An 11,047-nucleotide genomic window follows, 5' to 3' on the forward strand; every position below is an offset into this window, starting at 1 on the left:
TGGCCTCCCAAAGTGCTGGGATTACAGGCGTGAGCCACCACGCCCAGCCATGTCTTGTATTTTAAAGTGCATAAAGAATATGTGTGTTCCTCTGTAGTATCAAGGAATAGGGTTTCTCCTTACTTGAATATTCTGTTGGAGTGACTGTAATTGTTATATTGGCTAATCATTTGAAAATAATTAGAATAATGTGGCAAATGTAATATTTACAGTGTGCCGTGCACTGTTCTAAGTGTTTTACATATATTAAATTAACTTATGTAATTTCCACAAAAACCCTGAGAGTGGATAGTATTATAATATTTTTTTCATTGATACCATTAAGGCACAGGGAGAATAAGGAACTTGTCCAGAGTCACACAGCTGACATGTGTGAGAGCTGGGAATTGAACCCATGATATCTGGCTCAAGAGTTCTTGCTCCTATGCAGTATACTGACTCTGTTTCTCAGCTCACTCCTTTTTTGAGTCTGCAGTTGTCATAGTCAGGTTGTTTATGAGTGCTGGAAAATAAGAAACAGAACAGCAATGCCAAGTCTGTAGAGCATATAAACATGTTGGTGCAGTGCTATTTTAACAAAGGGTTGCCCCCACCCCCAGCGCTTAGAAAGTATGACGGATTGATTGCATTAATAGCCCCAATTATTCATGCCTCTTTTTATTCTACTTTTTGGTAATGCTCTCCCATGCTGACTCTGGGATTAACAATGTCAACTGCTGTATTAGATGTCTATGTTGTGTAACACATTACTACGATCTTACCAGCCTAAAACAAAGTATCTTTCTTATTTCCCACAGTTTCTGTGGGTCAGGAATCTGAGCAGGGTTAAAGGGGCCCTTTATTTAGGGTCTCACAAGGCTGCAATCAAGGAATCAGCTGTGCTACCTTCCTTTCTGCAGCTCAGGTTCCTCTTCCAAGGTCACATCGTTTGTTGACAGAAGTTAGTTCCTTGCAGTCATAGCACTAACGTCCTCATTTTCTTGTTGGCTGGTAGCTGGGGACGACTCTCAGCTCCTAGATGTCACTGGCTGTTCCTTGCCACATGGCCCTCTTACACTGTGACAGCTCACTTCTTCAAGGCCAGCAGGAGAATCTCTTATTTATGTTCGCTATGATGGAGTCTTATAGAACGTAATGAGATCATGACAATGACTATTCCAACACCTATGTACCATATGAGGGGACTTCCAAAAGTTCACAGAAAAATGGAATTAAAAGATACAAATTTAAAAATATAAACTTTATTTCCCAACACAAGTTCCATCAAGTTCAAGAAACCTTTGTAAGTGATTATAAAAGTCATGGCCAGGCGTGGTGGCTCACACCTGTAATCTCAGCACTTTGGGATGCCGAGGCGGGCAGATCACGAGGTCAGGAGATAGAGACCATCCCGGCTAACACGGTGAAACCCCGTCTCTACTAAAAATACAAAAAATTAGCCGGGTGGTGGTGGGTGGGCACCTGTAGTCCCAGTTACTCAGGAGGCTGAGACAGGAGAATGGCGTGAACCTGGGAGGCAGAGGTTACAGTGAGCCGAGATCACACCAATGTACTCCAGCCTGGGTGACAGAGCAAGTCTCCGTCTCAAAAAAAAAAAAAAAAAAAAAAGTCATTTAGTTCATCCCTAAAGAACTGAGGGTCCTGGGAATTTAACCATGTCAATGCAGTCTTTTAACATTATTAACTGAAGAAAAATGGATGCCATTTAAAGATTTTTTTTAAGATTAGGATACAAAAAATAAGTCAGAAGAAGTCAGGTCAGGAATGTAAGGTGAATGCCTAGTGATTTCCCTTCAAAACTCTTGCAGAATTTTCCTTGGTTGATGAGAAGAATGAGAAGCAGCACTGTTGAAAGACTCTCTGGTGAAGCATTCCCAGGCATTTTTCTGCTAAAGCTTTGGCTAACTTTCTCAAAACACTCTCAAAACAAGCACATGTTATTGCTCCTTGGTCTTCCAGAAAGTCAAGCAAAGTTCCTTGAGCATCCCCCAGAACCGTTGCCATGACCCTTGGTCTTGACCCCTCCACTTTTGCTTTGACTGTAAACTTTCATCTCTTGGTAGCCATGGCTTTGATTGTATTTTGTCTTCAGGATTATACTGGTAAAGCCATGTTTCATTTCCTGTTAAAATTCTTTAAAGAAATGCTATAGGGTCTTTTTTTTTTTTCCTGAAACAGGGTCTTGCTCTGTCACCCAGGCTGGAGTGCAGTGGTATGATCTTGGCTCACTGCAGCCACAACCTCTGAGGCTGAAACCATACTCCCACCTCAGCCTCCTGAATAGCTGTACTACAGTTATACACCACCACATCTGGCTAATTTTGTTTATTTTTTGTAGAGACAAGGTCTTACTATGTTATCTAGGCTTGTCTCAAACTCCTGGTCTCAAATGATACTCATGTCTCAGCCTCCCAGAGTGCTGGGATTACAGGCATGAGCCACTTTATCCAGCCAGCTTTAGCATCTTGATCCCAGATGTTTAAAATTTCCATTGAAAGTTTTCCTCTTGTCTGCAGTTGATCTGAGTGCAACAGTTTTAGCACCTATTGAATGGACAGTTTGTTCAACTTTAATTTTTCAGTCAAAATTGTGTAAGCCAAACCAACTGAGATATCTATGGTGTTGGCCATTGTTTCTGGTGTTAATTGTTGGTTCTTTTCAATTAGGGTATGAACAAGATTAATTTATTCCTCACAAATTGATGTGGATGGTCTGCCACTGTGGTCTTTCATATTCAACATCATCTCATCCCTTCTTAAAACAAGTTATCCATTTGTAATTTGCTGATTTCTTAGGGGCATTGTCCCCATAAACTTTTCACAAAACATCAATGATTTCACCATTCTTTCATTCAAGCTTCACTGTAAATTTGATGTTTGTTCCTGCTTCATTTTTAGCAGAATTCATGTTGCTCTAATAGGGGCTCTTTTCAAACGGATGTTTTATCCTTCTTAGGGCCTCAAATTAAATCCTGTTAACATAACAAGGTAGTATGGTTTCATTTTGGTGCAAAAATTTTGAAATCCATGCATAGTTTTCTTAAATATGCCATGTCCATAAACTTTTTGAAGGACCCCTTGTATTCTATTGGCCAGAAGCAAGTCCTAGGTTCCACCTGTATCCATGAGTAGGGGATTATACACGGGCGTGACTCACTGGGGGCTCATCTTAGAATCCTTCCTACCACTCTTGTTTTAGCCAGTGGGAAGTGGCAAACTTAACATTAGCAGAAATGTGCTTGCAGGTTTCTGCTGGGCCCCTAACGTTGCCCTGAGGCCATGCCTGGGCTAATCTACTGGGAGAGAAAGTGAGAGACATGTAAAGGAGAGCTGAGCCATTCCAGCTGAAACTTAGACCAGCTTAGAGCCAGTCAAACTCCAAAAGTGTGAAAGAGTCTGACCAAAATCAGAGCTGCCTATCCAACCTGCAGCTGACTGTAGATGTGTGAGAAAGCCCAGTCAAGAGTAGAATCATCAGCTACCTCATAAGTTTGTGAAGAGTAATAGGTGGTTGTTGTTTTAAAGCTGCTGAGTTTAGGTGATTTTTATGCAGCACTGTGCTGTCAACAGATAATGGATACAGTGTTACCATTCATTGCATACCCATTTCTTGCCAGGTATCATGTTAGTTTTTCCATGCTTACTTACTCATTTAATCCTCAAAGGAGCCCTGAATGAGGGTTTGTATCTAATCAGTATTTTCATTGTAGACATTGGTGAGGACATCAATATTATGATTGCTAATGGCCAAAAAGCTCCTGAAAAGATGCTCAACATCACTAATCATTAGGGAAATATAAATCAAAGCTACAATGAGATACCACTTTGCAATCAATTAGAAGCAACCATTTAAAAAAAAACAGAAAATAACAAATGTTGGAAAGGATGTGGAGAAATTGGAACCCTTGGGCACTGTTGGTAAGACTGTAAAATAGTGCAACTGCTGTGGAAAACAATATGGAGGTTACTGAAAAAATTAGAAATAGAATTACTGTATGATCAAGGAATTCCACTTCCGGATATATACCCTAAATAATTGAAAGCAGGATCTCAAAAAAAGTCTGTGCATGAATATTCATAGCAGCATTATTTACAACAGCTAAAAGGTGGAAGCAACCCAAGTGTCCATCAGCAGGTGAGCAAATAACCAAAATGTGACATACACACACAATTGAATATTATTCAGCCTTAAAAAGGAAGACAGTTCTGACACATGCTGCAATGTGAATGAACCTTGAGGACATTATACTAAGTAAAATAAGCCAGCAACTAAAAGACATGTACTTTATGATTCCACTCCTATGAGGTATCTAGTGTAGTGAAATTCATAGAAACAGAAAGTAGTATGGTGGTTGCCAGGGGCTGGAGGGGAGAGGAGTAGGGAGTTATTGTTTAATGGATACAGTTTCAGTTTTGTAAGATGAAAAAACTTCCAGAAAAGGATGGTGGTGATTGCACAACCATGTGAATTTATTTACTGTACATTTAAAAATGGCTAAGATGGTAAATTTTATGTTATATATACTTTAACCACGACTTTAAAAAGCAGATTACGGCTGGGCACAGTGGCTCACACCTGTAATCCTAGTACTTTGGGATGCCAAAGAAGGTGGATTTCCTGAGCTCAGGAGTTTGAGACCAGTCTGGGCAACATGGTGAAACCCCATCTCTACTAAAAATACAAAAATTAGCCAACATCATGGTGCACACCTATAGTCCCAGCTACTTGGGAGGCTGAGGCATGAGAACTGCTTGAGCCCAGGAGGCAGAGGTTGCAATGAGCCGAGATTGCACCACTGCACTCTAGCCTGGGTGACAGAGTGAGACTGTCTCCAAATAAATAAATAAATAAATAAATAAATAAATAAATAAATAAATAAATGCAGACTATGATTACTGTCTCTTCTACTTGTAGTGCAAATCCTCCTGTAAAAAGCCTACTTTTTTTTTTTTTTTTTTGAGACGGAGTCTTGCTTTGTTGCCTAGGCTGTAGTGCAGTGGCACAATCTCAGCTCACTGCGCCCTCCACCTCCCAAGTTCAAGTGATTCTCCTGTCTCAGCCTCCTGAGTAGCTGGGATTACAGGCAAATGCCACCACCCCGGCTGATTTTTGTATTTTTAGTAGAGACGGGGTTTCACCATGTTGGCTAGGCTGGTCTTGAACTTCTGACCTCAGGTGATTCACCTGCCTAGGCCTCCCAAAGTGCTGGGATTACAGGTGTGAACCACCGCACCCAGCCTTATTGTTCTTTAAACTGCTTTCTCCAAGTAGCCCTCCTTGCTGACATGCCTCTCTCTCTTTTTTTTTAATATTCCAGTTTATCTTTTGTTAGTAAGACCCTATATTTAAGGGTAAGTGATGCATGGAGTTTGCAAAGTCTGTAAGTTCAGAGCCTCTGATGTTGGACTCCCTGGGTTCAAATTTGGACTCTAACCTTGACCAGCTATGTGGTCTTGGGAAATTTTTTTAATCTCTGTAAGCATCGTTTTTCTCATATGCAAAGTCAAGATAACAGCACAACCTCATAGCATTGTTGTGAAGATTGAGTGATGAGAGACATGTAAAATGCTAGGCACAGTGCCCAGCAAGAAGTAAGCACTCAGTAAATGTCAGCTGTTGTTGGTACCTGATAAAAGATAATACCTGCCTAGTGATCCTAAAAAAAAACACAATAGATACTCATCATTATGCACAACATAAAGAACATAATTAAGAACTTGGCAACTGAAAAAATATAGCATACGGTTTCATACCTATTGTATGATCCTAAGAACAAACCATTTGTTCTTTTCCTTTTAGTTAGTATTCAAAATTAAGGGAAAATTGCTTACAATTGAAATCTGGGCATTATAAAAATGGGTCACAGTACAAAGCCTTCCACAGTCAAATGACTCAATTAGTGTTGAAATGGCCACGTCACGGCATTAGTGGCTCTTCCCTGCTCACCCTCGCTTACAGTTGTCTCTCCCCTCTTGAAGATTGTGGTATGGTGTGTCTTATATGATCAGTGTTGTGCAGTCCTATGTGGCTCAAAGCAGGGTGAGGTTTTTGAGGGATGGGCCATGTCTGATTCACCCCCTGTTATATCACTGTGCTTGACACAAAGAAGTCTCCCATGAGTATGCACAGGATTGAATCAATGATGTTGTGAGGACTTAGGGGTCATAGTTAGAAGTTTCCTAAGAATCGGGAAACATACTTCTACACATGGAGAGTTGAACTTTAAATTCCACACTTAATGGATCAGAAAAGAGTGGTGCAAAATGTAGCGATTTTAGCATGAAGACACTCAGGCCACCTGTCTTGATTGGCCAGGGCAGCTATAACACATTATCATAGACTGGCTGGCTTAAACAACAGAGAATATTTCTCACAGTTTTGGAGCCTAGGAAGTTCTAGATCAGAGTGTCAGTGTGATTGAGTTCTGTTGGGGGCTCTTTTCGTGGTTTTCTGACGGCTGTCGTCTTGCTGTGTCCTCACATGGTGGACAGCACAGAGAGAGGAAGCAAACTCCTATCTCTTCCTATGAGGGCACTAATTCCATTCTGGGGCTCCACCATCATGACCTAATTACTGCCCAAAGACCTCATCTCTAAATACCACCACACTGAGAATTATAGTTTCAAAATATCAATTTTTGGCAGGGGGCAGGGGACACATTTACTACACAGCCACTTAACACTTAGGATTAACCTTTAAAGAGAAAGTGGGGATCGCACCATTGCACTCCAGCCCGGGCAACAGTGCAAGACTCCATCTCCAAAAAAAAAAAAAAAAAAAAAAAGAGAGAAAATGGGACCATCAGAAGTTGGCACTGGCTGGTGGTGTCAGCGGTGGTTTGTCGGACTTGGAGGGATGGCAAAGGGAGTCACAGATGATAAATATCGCCAGGACCCTATCCAGCTTTCATCAGGGTGGGAGTCATACTGGTTTCTGGGTCCATTGGTCAAGTTATGCCCATGGTGGAGGTAGATACCATTGACTGTGTAAGCCTGACACCACCTAGGCTCCAGTTGCATGCTCACCAAGCCTGTGGGTAAGCCTGCCTACGGGGAAATCATGGAGTGGTGAAATGGACTCAAGTATTCTTGTTCTCATGTGTGGTAGGTGGAACCAAAGATGTTCACATCTTCATCCCCGGGAACTGTGACTATGCTGTGTTACACAGCAAAGGCAAGTTAAGGTTGCAAATGGGATTATAGTTTCTAATCAGCTGACTTTAAATTAGGGAGGTTATTCTAGATTATCTGGGTGGGCTCAAGGTAATCACAAGGGTCCTTAAAAGTGGAAGAGGAAGGCAGAAGAAGAGTGAGGTTAGAAGGATGTAAGCTGAGAAGGATTCAGCCCACTGTTACTGGCTTTGAAGACGGAGGAAGGGGCCATGAACCAGGGAGTGCAGGAGGCCCCTAGAAGCTGGAGGAGAAAGAACAGGGATCCTGCCTTAGAGCCCCCAAAAGTAATTTTCCTACCAACAATGAGACCCATGCCAGACTTCTGATCTGCTGAACTGTAAGATCATACACTGGTGATGTTGTAAGCCACTAAATTTGTGGTTTTGTTACAGCAGCTGTTGGAAACTAATACACCAGAGCAGTGATTTCTCAGTGTAAATGAGTAAATTAACATTTTTATTTGTTTCAGCCTCAGGGTATGTGGTTTAAACTCTCCATGGGATGATACAATCTGATTTCTGACTCTGCAAAGCTGACCAGACTTAGCCCCTTGCAATGAACTGAATGTTTGTGTCCCCCCAAAATTCAAATGTTGAAATCCTGCCCTCAAATGTGATGTTATTAGGAGGTAGGGCCTCTGGGAGGTGCTTAGGTCATAAGGATGAAGCCCTTATGAATGGGATTATTACCCTTGGAAAAAGGACCCCAGAGAGAACTCTCATTTTTATTTTTATTTTTTTGCCATGTGAGAATACAGGGAGAAGATGGCCATCTATGAACCAGGAAGCCCTCACTAGACCCCAAGTCTGCCAGCACCTCGAACTTGGATTCCTCAGTCTTCACAACAGTGTGAGGTAAATGTTTGTTGTTTAAGCCACTCAGTCTATGGCATTTTTGTTATAGCATCCTGAATAGACTAACATATGCTTGGCCGACTCTCCACTAAGAGATCATAAGAATCGTCATCATATATTGGGAGCTTCTATGTGTTGAGTGCTTTACCAGTGTGTTGCCTAGTTATCTCTATCACCCTATGAATTAGGTATGGTTATTCTCATTTTATAAATGTGATAACTGTGGTTCAAGTTGAGCCACACAACCTCAGATGATGTGATGTGGATTTAAACCCTGGTCTGGGTTCTCTACTCATGTTCTTTCTAACACCCCTAGCTGGCTCACCGCCATGCTGTCTCTGAGAAGACTCCATCTCTCGGAGAACAATCTGCCTTGTTCATGGCATGATGCATGAAGAAAAGCAGCCGGGCAGGAGAGGGACAGGAAAATCTCCCATCTTCCTGCATAGCTGAGGCTTTCCCTACTCCTAGGGAGAAGGCACTGAAGTGAATCCCATGAACATTCTCAACTGTTTCCAAAATGTTGCCAATATTCTTCTGTATATTGATATTTTGAAATCCCCAATGTAGTGGTATGTTGTATTTGAGCCCAGATTTAAAATTGTATATGTTTCATTCTAGCTTGGTTTCTGTCATTCTCAATGATTTCTTTATTTTCTTAAATATTTCTGAATAAAAGGGCCTCCTTAGTTAACCTAAGACAGGTGTATTTAACCTGAACCAGGTATAGTTAACCTGAACGAAGAGGAGGCAGCTGGCAAATGGTCAGAGAAAGCTGATTAGGAAAAGAACATCCTGTATGGTAGAGGTTCTTCTTTGTCATCCACACAACTCTTGATGAAATGAGAATACATAAAATCAGCACCAGCAAACCTGCTTGGTTTCACCTGCTGCCTCCAAGATTGTGATTGATCTGCAGAGCAGAGTTGAGAGCAGATATCATTTGTCTATGGTCTGTTCCAGTGGAATCATATGACATGTAATATCTGACTATGACTGCCCAAATCTTCCCGACTCACTTTGCCAAAGAGGGAACTAGGTCTTCAGGGTTGGAGTGACTCACCTAAGGTCATTCTATGGCAAGGTGGCAGGGCTAGAATTTAAACCCAGACTCTAGGTTCCAAGTGCACACCCTTTCTACTGTACTATCACAGCCTCTTGTTTCCCTGCAGTACTTAGCTCAGTTCCTTGAATGTATTAAGAGTCAGCTCTGTAAGTGCTTCCTGAATGAAGCTGAGGTTGTGCACATGAGAATAGTGAATACGATTTTTTGTTTTCCAGCAGTTTTGCTGGGTGACTGCAGGAAGCACTTGGCTTTCATCATTGGCCAACTGGGGATATCCACCCCTGGAAGTCATTTGATCACTTAAGCTCCCAACTCACTCAAGAGGTAGCCTGCAAGGGTCTTGCAGCTTTGATCCAAATTTTCCATCCAAACAGCCATGTAAACGGAGAGGCTCCTGATTCCAGCCAAGGCCCAAGTTGCCGCTCTCTTTCTCAACGAAAAGAAAGAAAATGTGTCTTCCACTGTGGCTGAGCTACCTGAACAGATCAAGTGCTGGAATGCACTGATTGCTTTGAGGAGCAGGATCCTTTTTGGCTTCATCTTTTCATTTTGCTGCCGGGCTTAAGGAGGCTCAGAGTTTATTGCTTGTTATAAGCCTCACCAGAAAATATTTCAATCTCTTCATCTTCCCCATTCAGGCTAAGGCCAGTGAATGCAGTTCAGTCCCAGAAACAGTAATCATGCACCATCGTATCCAAGCACTGTGTCAGGAGTAGGGATGTGGAAGTCAGTGTGGGGCCATCTTCTCTCAGGGAGGGCACAATATCTGGCCCAGCAGAGGAAGAGTTAATCCAAAGCAGAGTTGTCTGTGTTAAGCTGTGGCTGAGTTGCCTGACATGAGCATGAAAGACAATTCCTTTTTTGAGTTCATACTGTGTGAAGCCTTGTGTCAGCTGCCAGATGCTTTCATGACCTGAATTATCTTTGGCAAACCCTGTGACAGAAGCAGTGTTCTTCCCATTGTACAGACAAAGAAACCGAGGCCCAGAGAGAGGAGCCAGAGCATTGGAGTGGAAAGGTTCTGGGGGATCTGGGTTCAAACCTTAGCCACAAATCCTGAGACTTTGGACACTTTTCTTAGCCTCTCTGAGCCTCTGTTGAGTCATTTGTAAATGTAAGTAAGTGGTCGTGAGGTTCCACGGGTAGGTACAGGTGTTAAAGGGGTTAGCTCGGTGCTGGACAGAGTCACTGCTCTCACAGCTCAGAAGATCCTGTGAGTGACAGAAGCTCAGGTGCCCCTCTCAGCTGAGTCTCATTGTTTCGAGACTACCACTGGGTTATCCTATCAACCCTGAGGAAATGCCCGAATGGATTCTGGAGGAATGTGTTTATTGGTTGTGTTCTTCATTATTGATCTCTCTGGAGGGATGTCTGCATCACCCCTCTCGGGCAGGCTTGGAATTGATGGATGAGAGGGGAGGGAAGAGCAGCCTGGTTGGTCTCCCTGCAGGAGCCTGGCCCAGAGTCTACTTGCTTAGGGGTAGCCACCCATGCAGTGATGGTCCTGCAGCCTCCTAAACTCCTGACCTGTCTTACTACTCCTGTTTCCCACCTGGGAGAAGGTGGCTGAAAAACCCACTTGCCTGGACTGTAGGATAGTGTCTGGCCCTGGTTTTGTCCTGGGTGGCGAAGGGACTACCTGGGGAGACTTTTATTGATTTGGGATGGTTCTTCTTTTCCTTCCTTTCTTGTCTTATTTTATTTCATTCAAGCGATGGGCTTTCTTCCCACTGCCTTTGAGACAACCCTCCGGAGAGTCTGGCCTGGGTCTTCCTCACTAATGCACATTGGCTCAGGGCTGCTTTGATGGATAGAGGCAATTTTCCTTGGAAATTGGCTGCAATATTGGCAATTCCATGGGACATACATTACATTCCTCTCAGAGAGAGATTTTCTGTGAGGTCTTGAGATGGAGCAATGCTGTTCAAGAGGGGTTGGGGGAAGTTGAAATCACC

At 42.7% G+C, this 11,047-nt stretch overlaps 1 long non-coding RNA gene across 1 annotated transcript in view; it reads left to right on the forward strand.

Annotated features, from left to right (window-relative positions):
- LOC101927845 (uncharacterized) overlaps window positions 1–8,645 on the forward strand; it is a 31,965-nt gene extending 23,320 nt beyond the window's left edge. Inside the window, exons 2-3 of the long non-coding RNA NR_125427.1 lie at window positions 7,930–8,026; window positions 8,343–8,645. This is a non-coding gene — a long non-coding RNA (uncharacterized LOC101927845). The remainder of the gene's footprint in view (window positions 1–7,929; window positions 8,027–8,342) is intronic.
- Window positions 8,646–11,047: the final 2,402 nt, after the last annotated feature.

Source organism: Homo sapiens, chromosome 8 (genome assembly GCF_000001405.40).
Source record: "Homo sapiens chromosome 8, GRCh38.p14 Primary Assembly".
NCBI lineage: Eukaryota > Metazoa > Chordata > Mammalia > Primates > Hominidae > Homo > Homo sapiens.